The sequence below is a fragment of the Homo sapiens genome, chromosome 4 (assembly GCF_000001405.40).
Source record: "Homo sapiens chromosome 4, GRCh38.p14 Primary Assembly".
NCBI classification, from domain to species: Eukaryota; Metazoa; Chordata; class Mammalia; order Primates; family Hominidae; genus Homo; species Homo sapiens.
The window spans coordinates 74,444,780-74,459,380 of NC_000004.12; the positions used below are offsets into that span (position 1 = coordinate 74,444,780).

At 37.3% G+C, this 14,601-nt stretch overlaps 1 protein-coding gene across 1 annotated transcript, besides 1 other annotated feature; it reads left to right on the plus strand.

Annotated features, from left to right (window-relative positions):
* The first annotated feature begins 356 nt into the window (after positions 1 to 356).
* AREG (amphiregulin) lies at positions 357 to 10,226 on the plus strand. Its single transcript, NM_001657.4, has 6 exons — positions 357 to 627; positions 1,755 to 2,003; positions 4,268 to 4,469; positions 5,601 to 5,753; positions 7,765 to 7,876; positions 9,980 to 10,226. Exons 1-5 carry the CDS (start codon positions 567 to 569, stop codon positions 7,856 to 7,858), a joined length of 759 nt encoding a protein of 252 aa, NP_001648.1. The 5' UTR covers positions 357 to 566; the 3' UTR covers positions 7,859 to 7,876; positions 9,980 to 10,226.
* Positions 1,624 to 1,824: a silencer, noted in NCBI's record as "peak5058 fragment used in MPRA reporter construct". NCBI's record gives its function as "represses an SCP1 promoter by STARR-seq MPRAs in K562 erythroleukemia cells {active_cell/tissue: K562}" and the evidence as "EXISTENCE:reporter gene assay evidence [ECO:0000049][PMID:32103011]".
* Positions 10,227 to 14,601: the final 4,375 nt, after the last annotated feature.

The following is a 14,601-nucleotide window of genomic DNA, read 5'->3' on the forward strand; positions in this document are numbered from 1 at the left end:
TAAAGTACTTTTACATCTAAATACGGAACTCTTCTATTTAATCCCTGTCTGTTGTAGATGTTAAGTATACAAAGAGGTTGTCAGAGTTTGAAACATCTGGACTTCTGTCAGGTACTAGCTCCGGAACTCCAGTCCTGCTCGCCCTCAAAAACGGCTTGCAGCTAGAGGTTTAAGTTCCACTTCCTCTCAGCGAATCCTTACGCACGAGGGAGGCGGGGCGTGTGTCCTCCGCGCGTGGTTTTCGGGTAGCACCTTCTGGGGCGCCGCCTGCCTCCACCCACGGCCGGGCCTTGACGTCATGGGCTGCGGCCCCCTCCCGGCTGAGCCTATAAAGCGGCAGGTGCGCGCCGCCCTACAGACGTTCGCACACCTGGGTGCCAGCGCCCCAGAGGTCCCGGGACAGCCCGAGGCGCCGCGCCCGCCGCCCCGAGCTCCCCAAGCCTTCGAGAGCGGCGCACACTCCCGGTCTCCACTCGCTCTTCCAACACCCGCTCGTTTTGGCGGCAGCTCGTGTCCCAGAGACCGAGTTGCCCCAGAGACCGAGACGCCGCCGCTGCGAAGGACCAATGAGAGCCCCGCTGCTACCGCCGGCGCCGGTGGTGCTGTCGCTCTTGATACTCGGCTCAGGTGAGGATTCACCGGCGCTGAACTGCTGGGCTCTCCTCCCATGGCAGGTTTTGCCTCTTGAGTTTGGCTCTTGCTTCTCTAAAAATCGCCCTTTAGTTCCCCCGACCCTGCGCCGCAGGAGGTGATCACTGTAGCTCCCTCCCTAGGAGGAAAAGAGAAGGGCAGATGTCTCAAACGTCCAGGACAAGGTGTCCCAGAGAATCGCTGTACTTTTTCTTTAGTTCAGCTGAGAAGACGGGAGAGATCATTTGAACCTAACCCTTCGTTTCACAGATTAAAAGATTAAAAAGACCAAGATCTAGAGAGGTGAAGTGATTTCCGCAGATATTGGACCCAGCAGTGTTTGCTGCCTCCTGCCTAATTCTCCATCTCTGTCTAGTGATTTCTTCTTTACCTTCCTAGAGGGACTTAGAGTATCCCGGCGAGAGGTTAAAAGCACCACTCTGATGCTGTTTTATTGAGACCTAAGAAAAAGCAAGATAAAGCAGTGGCTTAACTCTGGGCCCCAAATCTTACTTAGTACTCAGTTTATTGTCTATGTAGTAATAATAATAATGATAATGAAAAATGACAATAATAATCGATATAATTAACCACTGTTTATATTATTTTAAAAGATTATCTTTTAAAAATATCTTTTAAAAATATGAACACATCTTTTAAAAATATGAACACATCTTTTAAAAATATCTTTTAAAAATATGAACACATCTGAAGAAAATCTGATATTTGTATCTAAAACCTACCGAAATAGGCCAGGATGGCATTCTAGCAAAAAAAGAAATGCATTTGGAATGTGAAGTGATGGGAATTTTTAGACATTACCCATCAAGTAATTGTATTAGATTAATTTGCCAATTTGGCGGGATTTTTTTGATGTGGAAATTAATGTGGATTATCTGTGGAAAAGAAAAACTTCAGAAAAGCACTTCTGTAATTGGGACAGCTGAATTTGCTTGCTGGCAAAAATGTAAAGTTTCTTTCATAGAAATGACTCAATCACAAACAATAGCACATGTGCAATAACTGCTTTGATGTCAAAAGATAAACTTTTCTACCTAACACAGCTGACTCGAAAGGCACCCTACTTTACCTTTTCTTTTCTTCCTTTATTCCCTCCCCTGCAGGCCATTATGCTGCTGGATTGGACCTCAATGACACCTACTCTGGGAAGCGTGAACCATTTTCTGGGGACCACAGTGCTGATGGATTTGAGGTTACCTCAAGAAGTGAGATGTCTTCAGGGAGTGAGATTTCCCCTGTGAGTGAAATGCCTTCTAGTAGTGAACCGTCCTCGGGAGCCGACTATGACTACTCAGAAGAGTATGATAACGAACCACAAATACCTGGCTATATTGTCGATGATTCAGTCAGAGGTGAGTAGGGGATAAAGCAAAAATATGGCCTGTGAGATGTGGGTTTATATGAGCAAAGCTGCTTCAGAAGTAAAGCTGCTCCCCAGATTTTCTAGTGGCTTTATTGTATATCTGTTGGATAGCCCCTAGGTAAACTGTGACAAAAAGAACCATAATGTGGGCACATCCTATATGGCCAGAGTGATCATAAATGGTGTATGTCTCATTTTTAAACCTAATCTTCACAATGACTTTAAGTAGGAATTGTTATCCTCATTTTACAGATGTGATAACTGAAGCCGAAAAAGGTTTTGCTCTAGGTTCTACAGGTGACAAGCAGATGAGCTAGAATTAGAGCTCCAGTCTGTTTGATTCTATGCAGAAGAGACACTAAGCTCTTTCCCACTATGCTACATGACCCCCATTCTGAGAGACAAATTTAGACATTAACCATTCCTATCTACTTTGTATCTTAGCTTTTGTATCCCCTTCCCCAACACCACCCTTCCCCAGATAACTGCATTTTAACACAAATAAGGGGACAAGGAAGTAATGGGACAGGAGGCATTAGACTTTAGCGTTTAAGTACTAGGTGATGAGAAGCTGATGGAATAATAATAATAATGCCATCTGGAAATATTAAAGAAGGGTGAATATACTTAGATTTTGTATTGCTAAAATCACTCTTTAACCCCAAATCCCATTTGTTAGTTATATAACCCATGGTTTCTTTCACTTTCCTGTTATCTCATATTTTAAAAAGGCCCTTTGCTTGGAGTGAAAGTACCAAAGTAAGAGAGAAATATTGCATACTTTGGAGTCTGAAGGAAGAAGAAGTTAACAGTAAATAAGATCTAAATATCCTAAGAGCATCCACTACAGAGGCAGGGCAAGATGGTTTCAGAGCTGTTGAAGGCCTTTTCTGTCCTGACTTGAGTTTCCCTGGCTTCTCCCCCTCTTGTCTGGTTCTCAGAACTGGTGAAGGGACATCAAGTGGTACCAGAGGGACAGTGACTTGGGTGAGTGGGAAGTGAGAAAACCTTTAGCGAACACTCCACTTAATTCCCTTCCTTCTCAAAGTGTGCTTTTCTGTGAGGTGGGTAAGGGGTTCATTTGTGCTTATTTTTGAAGGCATGAGATTAGACCCATCAAGGTGTCTAGAAACTGTTCTCTTAAACATGTTTCAAGTTGTTAACACTTCAGAAGGCCAAGTAAATGATTAGTAGTACAAATGATGACTAGTGCTCAAAATTGCAATGCATTGTGAAATAGAGTGAAAATGTTGGCTGAACACCTTCGAAAGGCTAAGTTAAATGTCCATGATGTTAGTGCTTATCGCAACACTTCAGCATAGTGACTTTTTTATTTGCCTCTGTCTATAGTTTGTAATCTATCTGACAAAGTGAAGTTACAACGTTCATTCAAAATATTTCTCTTAAAGGACTTTTCTGTCTTGTGCTTTTTTATCGTCAGAGAAAAGTTTCAATATAAAAATCGCATAACCACCTCTTAAACATTTGCTACTAATTTTACTTTTGTTAAATGTTATTATAATAAACTGCTAAAATACTCAGTATTTATTTTCCATTTCCTTAATCACAGATATTCTATCTTTGATACCCTAGTTGACCTTCACTATGTTTCTAATGTTTTGTATTGAATGGGTGCTGCATGACCATTATGACTAATGGTATTTTCTCTTTACTGAAATCTGTTTGCTAAATATTCACTTGGATAAACCTCTTCAGACATTAGTGTAACAAAATGCACAGCACTAACATGCAAAGCCATTTGCTATCTTTAGTATGTGGGTAAACTACACCTTGCATAACTGCAAGACTGAACAAAAGTTTCTGTGGATCAGATAAGATAAATCTCTGAAGCACTGAATACAAATATTCCTGGGCTCCTGTTTTCAAATAGATTGACCACGAAAATGAGCTCCATGGAAATTATCAATTTGATTATAATCTGTTGTAATCTGGGTGTTGGAGCATTGTAACATAGAGTAACTCTAATTTATAATTCTCAGTTTTTTCCACCTGCAAGTAGTACTCACTAATTCCCAACTATAATCATGAGTGGACACTACTTTCAGGTAGAAAAAACTGAAAATTATAAATTAGGGTTATGCAGTCCTCTCTAACTTTTATATTGTGTTAGGTAATGAGGCACGCATGGCTGTTACCCCTGTGAGCGCTCACTGCTATGACATCTTTCTCTCATGTCTCTAAAATTATATTCAAGTTTGAGAGACTCTTGTCAATAAATCTTTTCTTTTTTAGTTGAACAGGTAGTTAAGCCCCCCCAAAACAAGACGGAAAGTGAAAATACTTCAGATAAACCCAAAAGAAAGAAAAAGGGAGGCAAAAATGGAAAAAATAGAAGAAACAGAAAGAAGAAAAATCCATGTAATGCAGAATTTCAAAATTTCTGCATTCACGGAGAATGCAAATATATAGAGCACCTGGAAGCAGTAACATGCAAGTAAGTTTTCCTAAAGCATATAGAATTTTGTATTTCTAGCACCATGTCTGAAACCCCTAACTGCAGGAAACCATTTATTTTTCCAATGTATAAACCAAGGGTCAGTAAACTTTTTGTTAAAGCACCAGATAGTAAATATTATAGGCTTAGTGGGCCAAGATTGTTACATGTACTTAAACAACGAATTAAAGTGTAACCATTTAAAAATGTAAAATTGGTGGGTGCAGTGGTTCACACCTGTATTCCCAGCACTTTGGGGGGCCGAGGTGGGCAGATCCCTTGAGCCCAAGAGTTTGAGACCAGCCTGGGCAACATGGGGTGAAACCCCATCTCTACAAAAAATACAAAAAAGTTTAGCTGAGTACAATGGTGACAGCCTGTAGTCCCAGCAGTCTGGGAGGCTGAGGTAGCAGAATTAATTGCTTGAGCTCAGGAGGTTGAGACTGCAGTGAGCCGTGATCGCACCACTACACTCCAGCCTGGGAGACAGAGCGAGGCCCTGTCTCAAAACAAAACAAAACAAAAATGTAAAAACTATTCTTAGCTTGCAGGTTGTTTAACAAAACAAAAAAGCAGCAAATGGCTGGATTTGATCCATGGGCTGTAGTTTCCTGACCCCTGGTATAAACCATTATTTTTTGTGCATGCTCCTGCTTGCTCTCTCTCTCTCTCTCTCTCTCTCTCTTTCTTTCTATATATATATGTATGTGTGTGTGTATGCATTTTTTAAAAACTCCTTTAAAAAAGGACCTAAAGGTAATTTTTGCATAATCTTTCACATTGTTTTAACCTCCTCCCCGCTTACCTCCCACAAGCAGCTAGCACATTAAATAATATTGGAATGTATCAACTGCATAACAAATCACTGAACTCATCAGTTGGTCATAAAAGAAACACAAAGAATGACAAGGCGTGTCTTCTTGAACTATCACACCCAAACTAATCTCAACTTGTTCTTATACTAATAGATCCTTAGTTAGAATGCATTCTGTGTCTCATTATTTAAAATACGAGTATATGGCATAACTTTTTTAATGTTGGAATTAAATGGTTCTTTATGATCTGGAGAATAAGCTTAAAACACACCGCACGTTTTTGTGATTATAATTTTTAAATGTGAATTGCTTGCAGATGTCAGCAAGAATATTTCGGTGAACGGTGTGGGGAAAAGTCCATGAAAACTCACAGCATGATTGACAGTAGTTTATCAAAAATTGCATTAGCAGCCATAGCTGCCTTTATGTCTGCTGTGATCCTCACAGCTGTTGCTGTTATTACAGTCCAGTAAGTATGACATAACTTACAAATTCTTAATAAAATAATGGGAGGTTAATTTTTTCAGTATTTCTCTCATACTCTACTCTGGTATTTTAGATGAATTATTATATTGTCACTTGATCTTTGGTTTATATTTTTATATTTTATTGACAAATATCACAGAAAGTGGTCAATGTTTATGACTTGTGGCCACCATTGAAATTTAACATGTAAAGCCCTTTTATAGAAGATCTAGAAATTTTTTGAACTTAAGTAATTGAAGGTTTTATTTCATGTTATTTTTCTACTCATGGTTACTTTAGAATCTCAGAAAATATTTATATCTACTGTGAAATCCTATGCTTCATCAAGCCTCAGGAGCTAATTAAGACCTGTTTATAGGAGGTTCGTAGTATCAGACATACTGCTTTGATACTAAAAACGACAAAGAACTACAAATCATCAGCAGTAAAGAATAGATATGTTTTCTGCTCATATTAGAATGCAAAATTCTGAGTTAGGAATATTATAACATGGTACTAATTTACTTAGAGCTTATGCTTATTTTGTTACTATCGAATATGAGAACTCAATTATTAAAAATAAATTTCCATCATAAGACATGGCATAGCAAGCAAGGACAATTCTATTACTGTTTCACTCCAGCGTATCTTCCCTGTGCTCATAATAACAGATCACACACTTCACTTCATGGCCAGTAAATGTTAGGACTAGACTGTCCCAGGTAGTAGGCACTGATGGGTGCATCAAAATGGCATTGTCTGTCAAACAGAAGTCACTGAATAAGGGAAGTTGGGGGAGGACATGAATGGCTCTGTGATGACTCATGTGCTACTAGAGCTTGGGAAAAGCAAGGGACTCATTCTTCTAATTTTAGGTCTTGGTAAATAACTTTAACAGCTATCCACTTGTGTACATGATCTACCACGACTACCATTCAGGAAACAAGGGGTTATCTTCTGCCATTGTTGACAATTATTTTAAATTTAGATGAGATCATCATAACATGACACATAAAAATTGTTTCATCATGCATATCAAGTTTGATATGTAGCTTAAATTTATTTTGCACACACTAGAATTTGTCCTGGTTTTCTAGTACCTCAAGGCAGATATGCAAAGGTGTTTAGGAGACATACTCTCAGACAAACCATTATTATTTTAAAGGATAGAACAAAACAATCGCTAGTTAAGGAAGATGTTTTGTAATAATTAAACTTGTAATTATTTGACTTGAAATATTTAATCATTTTTTGGGAAAGAATGGATAGATTTTGTTAATGTTAGCACTCTTAAAATTAAGCAGTGGCTTTTTTCCCCGTGTCTCCCATATTCTCCTTGTGTTTGAAACATAAAACAAACACTAAACCTAAGCAAAAGTTGCTGGGTTTGTTTTCATAATTGAGGTGAGTTTTTCCCTCAACTATTACAATAAAAGAAAACTTTTTATGATTTTAATGATAATGTTTTGTGGTGGGTTAAAGACCTCCTAACAACAGGGGGTTTTTATACAACAACAAGAAGTTTTTAAATAATTGAGTTTTTAAAGTGGAAAGCAGCAGTAAATTAAACTAGAAGGATATATTTTATACCTAGAAATAAATAAAGCTCAACTTGTTTTGTAAGCCTGTTTCAAAAATATTTAATCATTTAATTTGTGCAAGTATAGAGTTCTCCTATGGCAAAACTATACCATCATCTTCTCCAATTGTGCATGGCAGCTGTACTAAGTTCTGCAAAAACAAGACATATGGATGTGTTTCATACCTTCTCAGAATTGGTATATCAAGACACATTTAAATATAAGCCCTCTGGAAATGGATTTATATACAGTCAACATAAATACCCCCTTAGAAATTGGTAATATTTTATAGCCAGGTTTAGGTTTAGTGTCAAGTATAGTGATTGCTGGTCTATCACTACTCATGAAGTGGAACCCCCTCTACTCATAAAAACCCCAATCAAACATATAGATGAATAGAACCTTGATAACATTAGAATGCCTTGTTCTCTGAAGGCTTAGAAGACAATACGTCAGGAAATATGAAGGAGAAGCTGAGGAACGAAAGAAACTTCGACAAGAGAATGGAAATGTACATGCTATAGCATAACTGAAGATAAAATTACAGGTTTGAGTTTTAAAATATATCTTTAGATCATATCCTATAATTTTGAAAAATTTAACACTATATAATCTCAAGAAAAATATGGAATGTGTTCTTAATTATATATACACTATGAACAATGGCTATGTTAAAGTATTATTCTTTGAGTATAAGATGGAATTCAATGTTGAGAATAGACTACGTGTTTAATAAGTATTATTAGGGATATAAATATAAGAGACACTGGTCCAGTTCTCAAAGAAGTTATTGTTTAGTAGATAGGAAAAAAATGTAAGAAACCAGAATACTAGGGATGTAAAATAAATGTCATGAGAAAGGAACCAATGGAGTATGAGAAGTTTCCAGTGAAAAACAGAAAGAATCCAGTAGAATTTATTTAGGGAAGAGGAAAAGATGTGTTCGGGGTGGCCTTGGAAGTGAACGTTGAAGGACTAGTGAGATTGGTTCAAGAAACTGTGAAGGGAAAGAAAGGGTTATACTGAGAAATGGAAGAGATAATTTTAGAAACTTGTGAAAAATGGCTTAATCTAAATGAGTGTTAGGGGAGATACAGTTGTGATGATAGGTTGAGCTCACATGGTGGAGAGCCACAGTTGCGGGTGCTTGCACTGATAATGTGAGGGCATGGAGACAGACAATAGGTTGAATGCTCTTTTTTTACAAAAGGAAGTAGAAAGGGAGGGGGATGTAAATTTGATAAATAGGTTGGTGAAAACTTATATTTTCTTGTAAAGAGAGAGAACTGAGCATGTTGTAGGTATAAGGTAAAAAGGCGTGAAGAGGAATATTTCGTTGATAATGAAAGTGAGCAGCTAGGGAAGAAAACTCCCAGAGGAAGAGGGAGGCAAGGAAATCAAGAACACACTTAAAGTTTGTCAGAAGAAGGAACTTTATTTCCTTAAACATTCAAGAAAGATGATGTCATTTCAGTTATTGATTGTCTAACTTCAGTAGGTTTAAGAGTTACTTGAGGGCTGGGCACAGTGGCTCAGGCCTGTAATCCCAGCACTTTGGGAGGCTGAGGTGGGCGGATCACCTGAGGTCAGGAGTGCAAGACCAGCCTGGCCAACATGGTGAAACCTTTTCTAAATATACAAAATTTTCTAAAAATACAAAAAATTAGCTGGGTGTGGTGGTGAATGTCTATAGTCCCAGCTACTTGAGAGGCTGAGGCAGTAGAATTGCTTGAACTGCAAGGCAGAGGTTGCAGTAAGCCAAGATCGCGCCATTGCACTCCAACCTGGGCAACAAGAGCGAAACTCCATCTTAAAAAAAAAAAAAAAAAAGAATTACTTGAGATGCTTGTTGAATATGCATATTCCTAAGCCCAGCCCTAAATCTACTGAATCAGAATTCTATTTTTAATGTACACTCCAGATGGTTCTGATACTTGAACAACGCTATATTTAGCATTGGTTAAGTACAGATATTTTGTTTTTAGCCTATTGCAGAATTAGCTCAATAATTCATAAAATGGGTAATTATTCATACCAATGCTAAACTCAGTATTTATTACATCAAAATTTTTAATGTATTGGCTAATTTTGGTAAAGCTAAGACCACCAGTGTGAATAAGGATGGATTTTTGGTTATTTGCCACTGAGATTTTTTAGCATAGATCCCAGAATTATTTTAGGAAAAAGAATATGCTGTGCTAGCACATAGTGGGTGCCTATTAACTGGTAGTTACTATTATTATGCCCTTGGTACTAATTTTCCTAAATTAACTATATATCATAAATATGCTGAGACAGTTAATCTTTGATTTTAATTATGTCCACTGCATAGATTTGGTTAGGAAAACTATTTCTCATGACTGCTGTTGCATTTTTATTAAGCAGAATTTGATGCAACAGATTTGAGCATATGTGGACTTCTACTGAACTAGGTGTATAATCAAAGCAAGTGTGAAAGAGGAACTCAAGCCGAAGTAAGAGTTGGTCTCTGAAAAATCTTAGCATTTCTCAAACGATGTACTAGAAAACAACTGACAGAAATTCTGATTCCTGATTATGCTTTAAAGTTTCTTAAAGCTCTGCTGGAATTGAGCTTATCTGTAACATTTTGTTTTATTTTATTATTTTATTTTATTTTATTTTCTCACAGGATATCACATTGGAGTCACTGCCAAGTCATAGCCATAAATGATGAGTCGGTCCTCTTTCCAGTGGATCATAAGACAATGGACCCTTTTTGTTATGATGGTTTTAAACTTTCAATTGTCACTTTTTATGCTATTTCTGTATATAAAGGTGCACGAAGGTAAAAAGTATTTTTTCAAGTTGTAAATAATTTATTTAATATTTAATGGAAGTGTATTTATTTTACAGCTCATTAAACTTTTTTAACCAAACAGATTGAGAGTTTGAATATTAGTTCTGATATTGCAAGACTCCAGTGTACTTTTCTCCTAACAGTTGGTTGATCATTTAAAAAGGCTTTTCTCTCTCTTTTTACTGTCTTTATGTTGATTTTTAAAACTCATTTTTTATTAGATGACATTCTTCATGGGAGAATTATAATCTAGAGTCACATAGTTCTCCCACAAACATGAGTGTTTATAATAATAATCCCAAATTGGTCTTACTTATCCAATGTAGAACTTATACCAAGTGCTGTTAATTATAAAAGCATCTAGAATCAAGATAAGGTGCTACCTCTCTGTTACAGTGCACCTAGATTATTATAAAAGAAAGCAAACTCACTGCCCATCACTATGACCATCATAGACAATGAGAGAAAAATAAGTTTGAATATTACAAGAGTGACATTTTAAGAGAACTAGGAAGTATTTACATTTGAGACTTCTTTCCCTAATATCAAGACATGAATGTATGAGGTATCTAAAACCCACTCCTTCTTTCCCTCCTCTTGTTACTATTTTCTTACAGTATTGTATTTTAAACAAATGTGTGTGTATTGGTGGTGGATGCTCTTTCAAGAACGCTAAGGTTACGGGATGCCTCGCAGTTTGATGTCTGGCTGATGAACTAAGTTGCCTACTTACAAAACAAAACAACCTTTATGATATGTGTATGGGGAATATTACCAGCAATCATCTCACGGAAGAGAAATTCATGAATGAAAGGTGCATTAAGCATCAACACCTTCATATGTCTCTGGCATATTATCCACCAGATCCTTGCCCAGTGATCATCTAACCAATGAGCTCCCAGCCTCAGCTATACCTTATCACTACTTGAAAAGTTTTAAATGTCTAAGCTCCTAGACTCCCCTCCCAGAGCCTCCCATTTCAATGGACTAGAGTGAGTTGTTGGTATTAACATTTTTAAAAGATCCCTAGATATTTCCTATATGCAACTAGTGTTGAGCCTCATCCTAGTTCACTAAATATTTATTGCAGGTGATTCAAGTATAGTGTAAGACAGAAAAGCTCTGCCTTCAAGACATTTACCACCTAGTTAGCAGGAGGTGGTATGTTTTCTCAATGCAGTGCAGTAAATAACTGGCTGAGGTGTGCAGCAGGAATCCCTAGGATAGCTCCCAGGAAGCTATCACCTAGCTCAGCCTGAATGAGTCAGGGAGGGCTTCCTGGAGAGATGCTACCTGAAACTTTTTTGAAGGATGAATAGGAGTTATGGAAACGAGATTGTTATAGGCATAAGCAAAATTACAAAATCACCAAACAATATGACCTGAAAGAGAAAATACAGAAAATCATTCAGTATCAACCTATGAAGTCAAAAGAGGATCTAAGGAAGCTGGGTGGTGAGGGCAGGGTCACACTGTAGGCCATGGAAAGCAATGGGAAATCAGGGTACAAACTTGATCAGATTTGCATTCCAGATAGGTCATCAGACCACAGTGCTGGGGAGGGATTTTAGCCAAGCCAAAGGTCAGAAGATAGGCTTAGAAGCAATTGAGCTATTCCAGGTGGGATGTAAAGAACATCTGAAGCTAAGAAGGGAAACTTTTGATTTGAAGTTTTATAAAAACACAAAAACGTAGCAGGGGGCAATGAAGTGCACCTGTAGTCTTAGCTACTTGCCAGGCTGAGTCGGGTGGAAAGCTTGAGCCCAGGAGTTCAAGGCTGTAGTGTGTTATGATCACACCTGTGAATAGCTACTGCACTCCAGCCTTGGAAACATTGCAAGACCTCATATCTGAAAAAAGCAAAACAAACAAAAACAACAACAAAAAAAGATTATTTATTATAGAAACAAAGCTGAAAGTAATGAGATAATGGAAGAAGAGAATAAATCTGGGATCACTCTCAGATTCCTGGCTTCAATGGCTAGGTGGCTGGTGAAATGATTTAAAGTAAGGAATCCTTGAACTGGCTTGTTCTATATTTTAGAAGGGAAACATAGCTTTTCACTTATTGACTGAAGAATGGCTCTTCTCTATTTTGTAAAGTCATCGTTTTAAATTTGTAACAGATTTACGAGGAAATAACTATCAGCCTGGCCAGTTAGTCAACTGAATCAACCCTGATCCTTACCTCACATGTGAGACTGAACATAGGGAAGAAAAAGAGAAGGCCTACAAGTGTGATAATGAATTCTGCTTTGGATCGGTGGAGTTTGAGGTGCTGGAAGGCATCCAGTAAGCAGTTAGATACACAAGAAGTTCATGGAGAAAAAAAAACTTGTAGATTGAGAGTTATCAAAATATATTTGGTAACAAAAGCCACGTAAGCGCTCAAGATTACCAAAGGAGGCTATAATAAGTCAGAAGAAATATGTGTGTTGACAATTTTTGCCAGTGGTCACCACTGTGAAGGTTCTAGGCTTGCTATCCCATATACTTTTCTAGCCCTTAAAACAAAAGTTTATGAAGTCATTACAGTGGAGTAGAAGGGAAAACACTATTACCTTAAAAATAATAATAAATCTCAAATTTATTGAGTAGTTTGGTATCCCATAGACTCTTCTAAGTGCTTTACAAGTGGTAACTCATCTACTTTTTTAGAGGCTAGATACATTTTATAAATAAGTAAAGTGAGGCTCAGAGAGATTAAGAAACTTGACCACGGTCACATAGCTAATAAATGACAGTGTCAGGTCTCTGGCTACAGAGTTGGTCCACTTAGACTCCTCTCTCTACTCCTCCTATAGTCAAGGTGTTTGTTTTGGGTTTGGAGAATTCTATATGTATGTTCGTTTAGCATGGTTTTGACTGCCATTCATTTATAAAATATTTAAATAGCTGGTTTATCTCTTTAAGACCCAAATAAGGTGGTATTGTATTTTATGTACCTGTGCTATAGCCACAAAATTTCCTCATCATCTCCTAAAATACAACTGAGCTCTTACTTATGTGCACACACAGAATGAAAAACAGAGACAATGATATATCAACCAAATAAATATTGGAATTAAAGCTGGATACTGCTCATTAGCCACCCCACTTTCTGAAAAGGCTGTTTTTTAATTGGTTAGATATCATCTACATATGTGTGTTTTGCTTAAGTTAAAGGCAATTTATGAAATGCTGGTTAGGTTAGACTACAACATTCCTTCTTGGAGGCAAACTCAATTAATTCCAGGATGTGATAAATAACATTCAGTTTTTCATTTTCCCCTGTTCATGATCTCAGAAGCTAAAAGTCTGGAGTCAAAGTTAATTTTAGATGACTAGGCAGGTTAAATGAGTGTGTATCAACAACCTTTGTTTTCTCTTCCCTGGGTATCTCCAGCACTGTGGCACTTTGGGAGAGGAGCATGCTATTATCATAGCCAGGTCCTCAAGAGATCCTCATTTTGTGAATTTATCTCAGAGAACAGCAAAATATTTTCCTTATTTGTCTGTATTGTGCCCAAGCTTAGGTGCTTATTTTGTATATGAAAAAACCTACTTAGTAGCTTAAGAATCATAAAATTCTGCCTAAGCCTATTATTTCAGCTGAACTAATTCTTTCTCCCAGATAACTTTATCCCCTCGTCTTTTTGCCCCCAGGTTAGGTAAAATTATCCTGTTATATACTCTCATAACACTTACTAACTTTCAATTCAATGATTATTTGTATAATTCTTTATTTAATATCTTATTCCCCCACTGGTCTATAAGCTCCCAAGGGCAGGGACTGTCTTTTTTACTGCTCAATAAATATATGTTGATTGAAGAAGGAATGATTAGAGGCCTTTCAATATGATTTCTTTTTATAATTGTCATGACAGAAAGTGTTTTGCAACTGGGAGAAGTGTATGGGTTTGAAGTCCTACATAATGTGTCTACTCACTAGCAAAAACCCTTTTATGGGTTATAAAGTGACAGTAATAACTTCTCAATGGATGTAATTCCCACTTTATTTAAGAGTGTGTAAAAATTATACTCAAAATTTTCAGTTTTCATGGCCCTCACTTGGCTGTTCCTTTCAGGGGAAGTTTCTTTTGTTTGAAATTGCTTCTGATGTTAGATCCTCCTTCCTTCTTCATTTTTTTTCTTCGAAACAGTAGGACTTATTTCTCTTATCTAGTGATAATTTTGGTTCCTTTGTGTCCAAATCTCTCCCTATTCTTTCTTCCTTTATACCCTTCCTAGCCTCGGGTATCTTCTATTTTTACTTATTACTTCTATGAGATCAACTATTTTAAAGCTTCCACATATGAGTAAGAACACATGGCAGTTAATTTTCTGGTCCTGGCTTATTTCATGTAACATAATATCCTCCAGTTTCATTCTTGTTGCTGTGAATGGCAGGATTTCATTCTTCTTCTTGGCTGAATAGTTTTCCGTTGTGTATATACACCACAGTTTTAAATCCA